Source organism: Homo sapiens, chromosome 18 (genome assembly GCF_000001405.40).
Source record: "Homo sapiens chromosome 18, GRCh38.p14 Primary Assembly".
Lineage (NCBI taxonomy): Eukaryota > Metazoa > Chordata > Mammalia > Primates > Hominidae > Homo > Homo sapiens.
In genome coordinates, this window is record NC_000018.10 from 22,714,503 (window position 1) to 22,730,069 (window position 15,567).

Consider the following 15,567-nt stretch of genomic DNA (forward strand, 5'->3'; position numbering starts at 1 on the left):
CAGTGGCGCAATCTCGGCTCACTGCAAGCTCCGCTTCCCGGGTTCACGCCATTCTCCTGCCTCAGCCTCCCGAGTAGCTGGGACTACAGGCGCCCGCCACCGCGCCCGGGTAATTTTTTGTATTTTTTTTTAGTAGAGACGGGGTTTCACCTTGTTAGCCAGGATGGTCTCGATCTCCTGACCTCATGATCCACCCGCCTCGGCCTCCCAAAGTGCTGGGATTACAGGCGTGAGCCACCGCGCCCGGCCAAAAACATGTAATACAAATACTTGTAAGAACACTGTTGCAAAATATATGTTGAACTTAAATGATAATCAGTACAAAATGATGGAAAGAAAATGACTTTTCTTCCCATGATATTAGGCGAGATCCTGTCAGATGGTCCATTGAAATTTTGTAAGCAAAAAGAAGTCGCGCTTACGAATAGGTCCATCAAAAAAAAAATTCAAACCATGAAAAAAATTTTTAAGATATATCTTTGTTGTTTCACTTCCATTTTTCTTGTTAACATAAATGAGCTAATATTCATGTCAGAATTATAACTCTTCTTGAATGGCATAGCAACTTCTTTGCTGAATCCAATAGTTATTAAGCATTTATCACTCATTTTGTGACATTCTTGGTGGCTATAAAATTATAAAACTAATGGTGGAATTTGCCAAAAAAAAAAAAAATAGCAAGTCACACTGCAGTTGTAGGTGTAAACCCAAACACAAGTGGCTATATGCAATGTTTAATAAAGGATATTACATATTTTTAAAATAATAATAGGTCCATCTTCTCGGGCTCCTGGGACAGTGGAGTAATTGACAGCTGTATCATGTGGCAGCCAGTAGCCCCACCCATTCCCCCCATGTTTGACCCACCGTAAGAACACATCACAATTACATATGCGTGTCAAATACTACCGAGGCTTCCCACTCCCACCAACTAGCAGCCATTCTCCCATCTCTATGTTGGTCTCTCAAGTTTCCCTCCCTCCATCTCAGTTTAATCCCTCTACTCTGCTCTAGGTCTCATTTTCTCCTGCCTACCCTCTTGGGAATCTCACTCCATCTATCACTGCCGCTCTCTGGGATTTAAACTTCCTTCTTTCCAGTGGTACCTTCTTTTCATCAACATGAAACTCATACCTGAGTCTTTTTCACCTTACAAAACTCCTTCTTCAGCTGCTATCCTCTCTTCTGCTCCCCTAGGCAGCCAAAGTTAGAAGGTTTACCTGGGCTTGCTTCATCAACTTCTTTACCTTCCTCTTCCATCATCCTCCTCAATATTCCATTGAAGCTGCTTTTGCCAAGGTTATTGATGTTCCCCACATTATTTAGTCTAATGGACACTCTTCTGTCCTGTTGTGACCTCCCAACATGTTTTGGGCATTGTTTACCCTCTATCCTTCTCAGAGCCCTTTCCTGGGTTTCCTGACACCACTGTCTTTCAAGTTCTCTCCTACTTTCTGCCATTTCATTTACGGAGTCCTGCTCTTCTCCCAACCACCTCAAGGTACCATCCCAGGACAGCTGTGCCTTGCATTCTGTACTCTTTCCTAGATGGTCTCATCAATCCCCATGGCTTGATGTTTTGGTTGTCACTGAACTTCTGATGACTCACACATGCATGTCTCTCTGCAGACCACCTTCTGAGCTCGACTCATGTATCTAATTATCTTTGAATAACCCATTTGGATATCTCTTGAGTCTCAAAAATTAGCATGCCCAAAGCTGAACTTAGAGTGATTTTTTTTAATGAACATGTTTAAATGAACTTAATCATAGTTACATTTTAAAATGTACCCTTCTGATCAGAACCCTTCAATGTCACCCATCTGCTCTAAGTAAAATCCTAAGGCATTATAAAGCCTACAACACCCTGAATAATCCCTCTCCACTCATTTGCTTCCCTGACATTATCTCCTACTACCATCCCCCAACTCACTACTCTAGCCATGCTCCCAACTCAGGGGCCTTTGCACTTGCTTTTCCTATTTTTCCACCTGATATAAGCATTTGTTCTCTCCCATCCCTGAAGACTTCAGTCAACTATCACCTGTTGGTACGGCTTTCCCTGACAATCGTACATAAAATTTCAACACGCCCACTGATCTAGCATTCTTTAACCTCTTTTCCTGACTTGTCTTTATAACATTTATCAATATTGGACATACTATATATTTTATTGTCTACCTTCCTCCATAGATTGTAGACTACCTTGCAGGAATGTTGGTCTTGTTATTCATTGTTTTATTCCTAATGCCTAGAACAGGGTCTGGCATATAAAACAGAATCAATAAGTAACTATGGAATAAACAAATAAATGAATCTCCAAACCTGCTATCCATCATTTCAGTAAATGGTGCCCCCGTCGATCCAGCTGCTCAATACAGTTTTGACTCAACTCATTTGCTTTTGCCCCACATTAAACCATCACTCAGCCCTCCTGCCATCTCCAAAAATCATCTTCCTCTCCCACCTCCTGTCACAGTTATTTCTTATTCATCTTTTAATTCCAGCTACACATCATTTTTACAGACTGTGTCTGTAATGTTTCCTTTTAAATACCCAACTAGACCTAACACATGTCTGGTCCATACTAAGTGTCCATCAGGTATTTGTTGAATGAATAAATGGTGTTTCTCAGAAATGCCAGATTAGGTCTCCCAGCTCTCTGTTGCTATCACACTCTGTAAATTTCCATACATCACTCATCCCTCTTTTCAATAACTACTTAGTTTGATGTTCTTCTTCTTTTCTAGGCTATAAGCTTCCTGAAAACAGAAATCTACATGAAGGTGGGAAAGAGCAAGGGAAGGTCCTAAAATACAGACAGTACTGGCCTGACTATGGAAGGGTCATGCTGATAATACAGGGAAGCCATCTGAATAGGTTGGGGACAGAGCTGTGATTACAGAGGCATCAGTCTAGAGAAAAGAAGCTCATTCTATTTTTTGATACCAAAGGGGAAAAGGGAGTATCATAAGGTAGGCATATTTGGTCTCATACTTCTATATAAATCAGTTCCAGTGCTGGTTAAAATATAGTTTGGCTTGATTATTAATCACTAAAATTTAATAAATTCTTTTCTTTTTCTTTTTTGAGACAGAGTCTTGCCCTGTCACCCAGGCTGCAGGGCAAAGACGCAATCTCAGCTCACTGCAAACTCCGCCTCCCAGGTTCAAATGATTCTCCTGCCTCAGCCTCCTGAGTATCTGGGATTTCAGGCACGCGCCAACATGCCTGGCTAATTTTTTGTATCTTTAGTAGAGACAGGTTTCACCATGTTGGCCAGGCTGGTCTCAAACTCCTGATCTCGTGATCCGCCCACTTTGGCCTCCTAAAGTGCTGGGACTACAGGCGTGAGCCACAGTGCCTGGCCCATTTTTTTAACTTATGAATTTCAAAAACTTCTAATTTCAACCTTGTATAGTCTCCTAGCTACCAGACTGCAGCCTAATTGCTCTAAAATACACTTTATTAATTTATACATGGTTTACTTGCTAATTTAGAATTATATCTAGGTAGATAGATATATATGTGCATACACACACAAACACTCATTTTATATATTAGAAAACTGACATAGCAGAATCTCTTTTTACCTCAAGACTATATAATTCATAAGTAATGGAGCTGGGATTTGAACCGAGGTCTATGTGACTTCAAAATTCATGCACTTTTACTATTTTATAATGCCTCCATAATATGATATATATTCAGAGTGAAAATACTTGTGTAAAGAATTATGATAAAAATGAACATAAATTTAGCCCAATATTGTCTTATGATAGCTCATGAATACATTTAATATTAATTTGCTCACAAATGATAGAAATGTCTACCATGAGGATCTGCCAAATATTCTTTGACCTTTTGCTAAATATAAATGGTAGAGCTATTACCTTTAACATAAATGTATGTCCCATTTTCACCAACAGTAACCCGCACTTAAGCCCAGACAGCTTTGTTTAACTCTGACCTCTACAACTCAAAGATAAACAAGAATAGGATTAAGCCTTCTTCCCTTTGTTGTGCCCCACAGCACCCTTTGATTCTTGTTGAATTAATAAATAGTTTGGGATGAGGAGAAAGCAGAAACAAGCTCTTCTACCCACTTCCATTTCCAGCACAGGCTAATAATTATCAATAACAAGTCACAGCCTTAACTGTTCCTAAATTCCAGAAATATATCATCAAAGGGCTGTACATATATATGAAGAACCCTAAATCTGCATTTCGATATAGACACCTATTAGATTTACTTCTTACTACCTACAGGAAATTCACGTCTATGAGCAAAAAGTCATATACAAAGATTTTCAGAACAGCATAATAATCAATAAAAACAAGAAAATGGAAAAATTAGTGTAGGGATAGTACTAGAGAATAATTCGAAGTCTACAAAAGATTATGTTTATAGAGTCTTTGTAACTTTTGATTATGAAAAAATATTGTTATGTTAAATAATAAAATTAATAGAGTATTATGAGCCAGCTATTCTTGTAACAGCTTTAAACGTATTAACTAATTTAATCCTCAAAACAAATTTTACAAGGTAAGCACCATTACTATCTGCATTTTACAAATGAAAAAAGTTCAACACAGAGAGATAGGAACTTGAACCAAGATCCTTAAGCTTATTAGGTGTTAGAGTCAAGATATAAATCCAGATACAGCACTTGAGAAGCCACACTTAACAGTTTATACAGAAGATAAAATTGTATAGACTATTATAACTATTTAAATATATATTTGCTTGCATAAAAAGAAAATATTGGATGGGAATATAATTTGTTATATGGGAATTTTTAAAATTTCTTCATTATATTTATCTTTCTTTTCCACAACTTTTATAGTAGTCATGTTTTATGTTTATAATCAGGACAGAACAAGAAGTTATATTTGAAAAGTAAATGAAAAAAAGAAGTTCATGTTTTGAACAGATGCCTTGGTTCAACTGAGTAACTGACTTCAAAATTTATACACTATAGTCACGAATAATCTATATTTGAATACGTGCTATGGAAAAAGAAGAGTTTCTTAACGGCTTAAGCTATGTTCAGAGCTGAAAGGGACCTTAGAGATTATTTAGACCAGTTTTCTCAAAGTGTGGTCCCCAGACCAGAGGTGTCAACGTCATTTGGGAAATGCAAATTTAGGGGCCCTGCCCAGATTTACTGAATCAAAAGTTCTGGGAGTAGCGCCCAGAAACCTGTGTTTTCATGCAAGTCCTGCAGGTGATTCTGATGCACACTCAAGTTTCAGAATCGCTGACCTAGGCTTATGGTTCTCAGCCACGGCTGCATATCAGAATCAGTATCACCGATCCCACAGAAATACAAACTACCATCAGAGAATACTACAAACACCTCTACGCAAATAAACTAGAAAATCTAGAAGAAATGGATACATTCATCGACACATATACCCTCCCAAGACTAAACCAGGAAGAAGTTGAATCTCTGAATAGACCAATAACAGGCTCTGAAATTGAGGAAATAATCAATAGCTTACCAACCAAAGAGTCCAGGACCAGGTGGATTCACAGCCGAATTCTACCAGAGGTACAAGGAGGAACTGGTACCATTCCTTCTGAAACTATTCCAATCAATAGAAAAAGAGGGAATCCTCCCTAACTCATTTTACGAGGCCAGCATCATCCTGATACCAAAGCTGGGCAGAGACACAACCAAAAAAGAGAATTTTAGACCAATATCCTTGAAGAATATTGATGCAAAAATCCTCAGTAAAATACTGGCAAACCAAATCCAGCAGCACATCAAAAAGCTTATCCACCATGATCAAGTGGGCTTCATCCCTGGGATGCAAGGCTGGTTCAATATATGCAAATCAATAAATGTAATCCAGCATATAAACAGAACCAACAACAAAAACCACATGATTATCTCAATAGATGCAGAAAAGGCCTTTGACAAAATTCAACAACGCTTCATGCTAAAAACTCTCAATAAATTAGGTATTGATGGGACATATCTCAAAATAATAAGAGCTATCTATGACAAACCCACAGCCAATATCATACTGAATGGGCAAAAACTGGAAGCATTCCCTTTGAAAACTGGCAACAAGACAGGGATGCCCTCTCTCACCACTCCTATTCAACATAGTGTTGGAAGTTCTGGCCAGGGCAATTAGGCAGGAGAAGGAAATAAAGGGTATTCAATTAGGAAAAGAGGAAGTCAAATTGTCCCTGTTTGCAGATGACATGATTGTATATTTAGAAAACCGCATTGTCTCAGCCCAAAATCTCCTTAAGCTGATAAACAACTTCAGCAAAGTCTCAGGATACAAAATCAATGTACAAAAATCACAAGCATTCTTATACACCAATAACAGACAAACAGAGAGCCAAATGATGAGTGAACTCCTATTCACAATTGCTTCAAAGAGAATAAAATACCTAGGAATCCAACTTACAAGGGACGTGAAGGACCTCTTCAAGGAGAACTACAAACCACTGCTCAATGAAATAAAAGAGGATACAAACAAATGGAAGAACATTCCATGCTCATGGGTAGGAAGAATCAATATCATGAAAACAGCCATACTGCCCAAGGTAATTTATAGTTTCAATGCCATCCCCATCAAGCTGCCAATGACTTTCTTCACAGAATTGGAAAAAACTACTTTAAAGTTCATATGGAACCAAAAAAGAGCCCGCATCGCCAAGTCAATCTTAGGCCAAAAGAACAAAGCTGGAGGCATCATGCTACCTGACTTCAAACTATACTACAAGGCTACAGTAACCAAAACAGCATGGTACTGGTACCAAAACAGAGATATAGATCAATGGAACAGAACAGAGCCCTCAGAAATAACGCGGCATATCTACAAATATCTGATCTTTGACAAACCTGAGGAAAACAAGCAATGGGGAAAGGATTCCCCATTTAATAAATGGTGCTGGGAAAACTGGCTAGCCATATGTAGAAAGCTGAAACTGGATCCCTTCCTTACACCTTATACAAAAATTAATTCAAGATGGATTAAAGACTTAAACGTTAGACCTAAAACCATAAAAACCCTAGAAGAAAGCCTAGGCATTACCATTCAGGACATAGGCATGGGCAAGGACTTCATGTCTAAAACACCAAAAGCAATGGAAACAAAAGCCAAAATTGACAAATGGGATCTAATTAAACTCAAGAGCTTCTGCACAGCAAAAGAAACTACCATCAGAGTGAACAGGCAAACCAGAAAATGGGAGAAAATTTTCACAACCTACTCATCTGACAAAGGGCTAATATCCAGAATCTACAATGAACTCCAACAAATTTACAAGAAAAAAAACAAACAACCCCATCAAAAAGTGGGCGAAGGACATGAACAGACACTTCTCAAAAGAAGACATTTATGCAGCCAAAAAACACATGAAAAAATGCTCATCATCACTGGCCATCAGAGAAATGCAAATCAAAACCACAATGAGATACCATCTCACACCAGTTAGAATGGCAATCATTAAAAACTCAGGAAACAACAGGTGCTGGAGAGGATGTGGAGAAACAGGAACACTTTTACACTGTTGGTGGGACTGTAAACTAGTTCAACCATTGTGGAAGTCAGTGTGGCGATTCCTCAGGGATCTAGAACTAGAAATACCATTTGACCCAGCCATCCCATTACTGGGTATATACCCAAAGGACTATAAATCATGCTGCTATAAAGACACATGCACATGTATGTTTATTGCGGCTCTATTCACAATAGCAAAGACTTGGAACCAACCCAAATGTCCAACAATGATAGACTGGATTAAGAAAATGTGGCACATATACACCATGGAATACTATGCAGCCATAAAAAATGATGAGTTCATGTCCTTTGTAGGGACATGGATGAAATTGGAAATCATCATTCTCAGTAAACTATCCCAAGAACAAAAAACCAAACACCGCATATTCTCACTCATAGGTGGGAATTGAACAATGAGAACACATGGACACAGGAAGGGGAACATCACACTCTGGGGACTGTTGTGGGGTGGGCGGAGGGGGGAGGGATAGCATTAGGAGATGTACCTATTGCTAAATGAGGAGTTAATGGGTGCAGCACACCAGCATGGCACATGTATACATATGTAACTAACCTGCACATTGTGCACATGTACCCTAAAACTTAAAGTATAATAATAAAAATAAATAAATAAATAAAAATTAAATTAAATTAAAAAAAAGAAATGTTCTAAATAAACTATAGGGGTAATCATTTCAGGTCAAAAAAAAAAATCACCTGAGAGTTTTTAAGACTCTCAGTGTCTGGAGTGCACCAATAGAGATGCTGAGTTAACTGGTTTTAAATGAGTCCATCAGTGTTTTTAACTGCTCTTTATGTGATTTAGCCAGAACCACTGATTTAGTCCTTTACTACTCATAGCATGGTCCTCGGACCCACAGAGTTGGCATCTACTGGGAGCTTTTGAGAAATGTAGGATCTAGAGTTCCACTCCAGCCCTGCTTGAATCAGAAACTGCATTTAAACAAGATCCCCAAGTGGTTGATATATACATGCAAGTTTGAGAGGCATTGAACACTGTCCTCATTATACAGAGGAAAAAACAAACAAGGCCAAAAGAGTTAATATTTTCCCAAGATCTCACTGCTGGGGGATGGGAGACAGGGGATGGGAGAAGGGGCAAGAATAGAAGAGTTGAATTCAAACCCAAGATGCTCAAAATTTCAACTGCACTCTTTCTGTTATACTATGTTGTAAAGCTTTGGATTTGATGGATCTTTCTTTTTTTTTTTTACCTTTCTCCCACCTCCAAATGGTTTTCACCCCATAAAGTACCTAAAGCTTGGTAATGCACAAATGCCATGTCATTCCCTGAAGAAATTTAGAGTTGGCAGAGGAAGGCTTAGAAATTAAGTGCCTGAAAGCCAGTAACCGGGCTCAGAGATCTCCAAGGACTGCTGTCCAGTCCAAAATTCCATGACATCTGCAATACAGCCTTGAATAAAAACCAGAATGCCAGTATCCAATGCAGTGAGAATTTATTTCATAGTTATCAAAGCAAACCAAAGGTTATCAGTGGGTTGGACATTTAAAGATTAAGTACAGCTGATCGCACTCAACTCTTATGCAGGTAGCTTAACTCCAGTGGTTCTGGTCTCTCTCTGAAGGGAAAATAGAGGTGTTTATGATCCTGTATCCTAATGGGTTCCAGGTGATCCAGGCTAGGCAGCTGAGTTAGGCCCTCTCTTCTTTGATTTACATGGCAGAATCCAGGCCATCTCTAAATTGAAAAGATATAGTAATGAGTAAATGCAGAAAAAGAAAAGAGGAATAAAAAGAGCTGAGGCAAAACCTGGAGTGCTTTTCCAAGTCCAAAGTGAGCTATGGCTGCCCTCTCTGCTCAGAAGGTATGATCATAAATTACTAGCTAATGTTTAGCACTGGGGCTCTGGCCCATGATCTATTACAGAGGACAAGATGCCTCCAAGCAGAAAATACTGTAACTGGGGAGCAATAACATCTGTGTCAGTCATGAGACTGCAGTTAAAGTGAACTGAGAAGTTACAGGCTGTGCTGCAGATGCATAGTAATAATATGCACATTTTTTAGCTAAAAAGATATGTCATCAAGATATGAGTTACATTCTTTTGCGTCACCATAGCCTGAAGAGGATCAGTAGGACCCCCGGATTTCTGTTTTAACATTAGCAAGATGTTAGCCAACAACTCAAGGGAATTATAGTTGATAAAGCAAAGAAGTCTGAGGAACTCGGAATATGGGCTTGGTTTTCTGGAGCACAGATTCTAGGTCGTTACAATGCTCTGCTGTACTAAGCAGGTCACATAATCTCTCTGAGCCTCTTAATCTAGCAAGGTCAAAGAATTCATTCAGGATAGAATTGGGACTCAAACGCAGACCTTCCGGCTATAAATTCTATTATTTTCCCAGTACTTCTCTGTTTATAAAATTGATATTTAAGTAGTTATCAATAAGAGTAAATGCCCAGTTATTCAGGAACTGAAATGTGTACAAGGGACTTTCATTTCTGAATAGATCAAAATAAAAGAGAACTGCTTTATTGTAACTTTCCATTTTAAAAATTCTTTAGTAGCATGATAATAGCTAAAAATTCAAACCATTTAAAAGTGTTCAGGGTGGGAGGGGGACAAGAGTTGAAAAACTACCTATTGGGTACTATGCTCACTACCTGGGTGATGGGATCCTTCATACCCCAAACCTCAGTGACATGCAATTTACCCATATAACAAACCCAGTGAACCTAAAAGGTGGAAAAAATAAATAAGAAATAAAACAGAAGTTTCAGGAAAACAAACTGCCAGTTGTGGGTAGTCTAGAGCAGGGGTTCTCAACCCCCAGGGCCATCGACTAATACGAGTCTGTGTGTGGCCTGTTAGGAACTGGACCATACAGCAGGAAGTGAGTGGTGGGCGAGTGAGCAAAGCTTCATCTGTATTTACAGCTACTCCCCATCGCTCGCGTTACCACCTGAGCTCCACCTCCTGTCAGATCAGTGGCAGCATTAGAGTCTCATAGGAGCACGAACCCTATTGGGAACTGTGCAAGTGAGGGATCTAGGTTGCATGCTCCTTATGAGAATCTAATGCCTGATGATCTGAGGTGGGGCTGAGGCAGTGATGCTAGCACTGGGGAGCAGCTGCAAATACAGATTAACATTAGCAGAGAGGTTTGACTGAACAGAGACCTTAGTAAATCAATTGCTTGCGGACTCATAACAAAATTATATCAGTCAGTGGCAAATGACAATTAAGCTGCATCTGGTGTCAGGCTTTATAGTGGTAAGTGAGTTGATGTACTTTGATTGTACAGCTGCATCTGGTGGCAGGCTTTAAGTCAGAATCTGACACTTATTTCAGTCCGTGTGTGGCCTGCCCATTATTTTATTTACCACTTCCATCCATGCCTCCTTCCTGCACTGCGCACTTGTCTCTGTCACAGTTTTGGTAAGCCCACAAGCTAACCCAAGCCAAAATGAGTGAAAAATAAACGTCACTAGAGAGCTTCTTTGAAAAGAGGGAAAGACCCAATGATGAGACAGCAGAAGACTCTAAGACTGCCAACAAAAAGAAATCTTCATTTAAAAGAAAATACTAAGAGTCCTACTTAAATTATGGTTTCATTGCACCAAGTGATTCACCTTCTCCAAGCCTGCTTTGTATAATATGTGGTGACTGGCTATCCACCGAAGCCATGAAACCTTCCAAACTGCTTTGCTACATGGAGATGAGGCACCCTGCATTAAAAGACAAGCCTTTGGAGTTTTTCAAAAGAAAAAAACATGAACACAAAGAACAGAAGCAATTAGTGAAGGCCACCACTTCATCAAATGTGTCTGCACAGAGAGCATCATTCTTAGTGGCTAACTGCATTGCTAAAGGTAAGATGCCCTTCACTATTGGTGAAGAGTTGATCCTGCCTGCTGCTAAGGACATCTGTCATGAATTTTTTTTTTTTTTTTTTGAGATGGAGTCTCACTCTGTTGCCCAGGCGGGAGTGCGGTGGTGTAATCTCGGCTCACTGCAACCTCCACCTCCCAGATTCAAGTGATTCCCCTGCCTCAGCCTCCCGAATAGCTGGGACTACAGGCACCTGCCAAAACACCCAGCTAATTTTTGTATTTTTAGTGGAGATGGGGTTTTGCCATGTTGGCCAGGCTGGTCTTGAACTCCTGACCTCAAGTGATTCCGCCCGCCTCAGCCTCCCAAAGTGCTGGGACTACAAGAGTGAGCCACCACGCCTGGCCTGTCATGAACTTTTAGGAGAGGCTGTGGTTCAAAAGTGGCACTTGTTCCTCTTTCAGCTAGTACCAAAACTAGATGAATTGATGAAATAGCAGAGGCTATTGAGGCACAATTGTCAGAGAAAATTAATGAGCCACTGTGGTACACAATCCAGGTTGACAAGTCTACCAGTGTTGACCACAAGACAACAATACTTGTTTGTGCGTGATTTATTTTTCAGGAGGATGTGCATGAGGATATGTTATGTTCACTCTTATTGCCAACCAACACCACAGCTGCAGAACTATTCAAGCCTTTGAATGACTGCATGTCAGGAAAACTGAATTGGTCATTTTGGGTAGGTTTATGCATGGATGAAGCAGCTGCCATGACTGGATGGCTTTCTGGTTTCACTACTTGGGTCAAAGAGGTTGCTTCAGAGTGTGAGTCTATGCACTGTGTAATCCCTAGAGAAATGCTGACTAGCCAAAAAACGTCACCTGAACTTAACAATGTTTTGCAGGGTATGATTAAAATTATCAACCATAATAATGTACATGCCCTTAATTCACATTTGTTCACTCAGCTCTGTGAGGAGATGGACACAGAGCACACACGTCTTCTCTTATACACAGAAGTGAGATGGCTTTCTAAAAGTAGATCACTGGCCAGAGTTTTTGAGTTATGAGAGCCACTGCAGAGATTTCTTTTAGAAAAAGAATCACCACTGGCAACACATTTCAGTGACATAGAATGAGTCCCAAAACTTGCTTACTTTTGGGACATATTCAACCTGTTCAATAAAATCAACATGTCACTTCAGGGGAGAATGACAACTGTATTCAAGTTGGCAGATAAATTCGCTTCATTCAAAGCCAAACTGGAATTATAGGGGCAACAAGTGAACATTGGGAACTGGGGTCTCTGACATGTTTCAAACATTAGCAAAGATATTGAAAGAGACAGAGCCAGGGCTGTCTTTCTCCCAGCTGGTGGATGATCACCTATCTCAGCTTTCAAGAGTTTGAGCATTACTTCCCAACACAAAAGACTCCCAAACTGGGAAGGAATGGATCTGTGACTCATTTGTGAATATGCCAGGTGAATAGATTTTGTCCATGCTAGAAGAGGATCAACTGCTTGAGATTGCATATGATGGTAGCCTTAAAAGTATGTTTGAGAAAACTTCAAATCTCCATAGTTCTGGATTAAAGTCAAGGTGAAATATCCTGTGATTGCCACAAAAGCACTGAAAAGCCTACTTCCGTTCCCAGCATCCTATCTTAGTGAAGCAGAATTTTCTGCAGTGACAGCAACCAAAACGAGATTACGGAGCAGACTGGACATAAGCAACACACTTCCATGTCACTGTCCTCCATCACCCCCAGATGGGACCATCCAGTTGCAGGAATACAAGCTCAGAGCTCCCACTGATTCTACATTATGGTGAGTTGCATAATTATGTCATTATATATTACAATAAAAATAAAGTGCATGATAAATGTAATGTGGTTGAATCATCCCAAAGTCATCCTCCCTACTCCACCCCAGTCTGTGGAAAAATTGTCTTCTGTGAAACCGGTCCCTGGTGACAAAAAATTTGGGGACTGCTGATTGAGAGAGATCTTAATTGAGTTAAAAAAGAGATCACAGGGACACAGGAAGGGGAACATCACACTCTGGGGACTGTTGTGGGGTGGGGGGAGGGGGGAGGGATAGCATTGGGAGATATACCTAATGCTAGATGACGAGTTAGTGGGTGCAGCGCACCAGCGTGGCACATGTATACATATGTAACTAACCTGCACAATGTGCACATGTACCCTAAAACTTAAAGTATAATAATAAAAGAAAAAAAAAGTTTTGCATAGATGGACAGCCTCTGAGGTATCTTTCAGCTTTGATAACTGGTGATTCCTTACTGTATAGGCCAACTGGGCCCAAAGTCCACTTGGGATTTCAACACCTTCTTTTTTCATAGTATGACCAGGACTTTCCCAGTTTATGCTGTAAGTCCTATGATCTGGAACTGAGTCCCAGGCAAACAAGGAATCACCATACTTCTTACCACTATGCTGTGTGTCTCCTTGACCCTTGTCCAGACCAGCACAGTGCTCTTAACTGCACCTTCCCACCTACACAAAAGCCTGAGTACACACTACAAAAAGTCTTTGTCCCCTGCACTCTGGATCTTGTGCAAACCCAAAGGAGGCTTTGCCTTCTACTCTCATTCCAACCTGCATACTCGGGTACCTTGGCAAGTACCTAGGTTTGTTTCTCTAATTAGCCCTCTTGAAGCAATGCTTCAGGTGAACCATCTGCTTGGCTTCACCACCAAACATGATCTTCAAGTCTCCCAGCCCAACATTTCTCCTGCCAGGCCTTGGGTCATTGAGCAGAGGTATTATTGGGATACCTTATGCCCCTGCTGCTGCCTAGTCCTGTAGCCACTGCATAGCATGATCCAAGATCAAAGCTATTTTGTGGATTTCTAAATGCCATACTACTATATCAGTTCTGTATCTATTGCCAGAATTCTTTTAAAAACTGGTCATTTGTAGACATAAGCTTTTCAAGGGCTCAAATATCCCATTTTCATAAACCTATTTGTTTTCTTGTCTGCTTAGTGTTGCCTTTGACTATATTGAATATCCTCCTCCTGTGCTATGTTAAAATGCCTTTACTTGTTACTTGTTAACAATAAATTACTCATTAACAAGGAATTCATTCTTATCATTGACAAATATTTCAGCATAAATGGACTTCTTTCTATAGCCAAGAGAGTATGAAGTATGTTAGATTGGAAAGCTCCATATTTATCGTCTGTTGGATTAAAGCTTGTTGATTTATTTTAAACTATTCTAAGGTGGTTGTTTGTGTTTCATACTTATATCTCAGGAGATACTGATGAAACTATATAGAATGAATCAACAATTAGTACATAGCCCAAAACCATGTGCCCAAAATACCTAAGTTATGGACATTCCTAAAACAGACCTTAATATGCTGAGTTTTTCTAATTAATTTATATTTTTCCACATACAAAAAGGATAGGAAAGTCTTCCAGAAAAAAGGACAATGTCCTTGGGTTACTTTGTAGCATCTAACACTGCTAAACTGGTGTAGAGGAGTGAAGAGGTTGAAAGGAAGACTATAAGATGTCCCACTTAAGAAACTGTTAAAAAGTGCTGTGAAAGTCTGATCCCTCCATTCATCCACCTGACAGAAGCACTGGAACAAACTTCTGCCTGTCACAGAAACTTCTATTTGTCTACCCAGTATTTATTTTTTTTCCTTCTTCCTTACTAACAGAATGTCAATTTTCTTCTAGGCATTCATTTATTCTCCCTTGCAGCTAAGGGTAACCAATGAGGTGTAAGTAGAAGTGTTTGAAAGGGCCTTACTCACCCAGGAGGGACAATCCTGGGACCTTCTGCCCTCCTTCCTTCCTCCTTCTTTCTGCCTAGAATATGTCAGGTTGTTACATTTAAAAAATAAAAACACAGGGTGCCTACTTAAATTTAAATTTCAGACAAACAACAAATAATTGGTTTTAGTATAAGTACATTCTATGCAGTTTGGAACATACTAACACTAAAAAATCATTTGTTGTTTACCTAAAATTCAAGTGTAACTGGGTATCCTGTATTTTATCTATTTTATCATGTCCCCAAGAATGTGGACATGGAGACTGAAGCTCCAGCAGCCACCATGGGACATAAAGAGAACTTACAGCTGAAAGCCACACACCAAGGATGACAGAAAGAAAATATGGGCATCCAGTCACAGAAGACCAGAGAGGGACACGCTAACCCCAGGCCATGTTCCTTGGAACTTTTTC

General features: G+C 39.8%; 1 long non-coding RNA gene across 1 annotated transcript in view; it reads right to left on the minus strand.

Moving 5' to 3' along the window:
- Positions 1 to 8,988: 8,988 nt before the first annotated feature.
- The window catches only part of RBBP8-AS1 (RBBP8 antisense RNA 1), a 210,274-nt gene continuing 203,695 nt past the window's right edge, over positions 8,989 to 15,567 (minus strand). Inside the window, exon 5 of the long non-coding RNA NR_198963.1 lies at positions 8,989 to 9,247. This is a non-coding gene — a long non-coding RNA (RBBP8 antisense RNA 1). The remainder of the gene's footprint in view (positions 9,248 to 15,567) is intronic.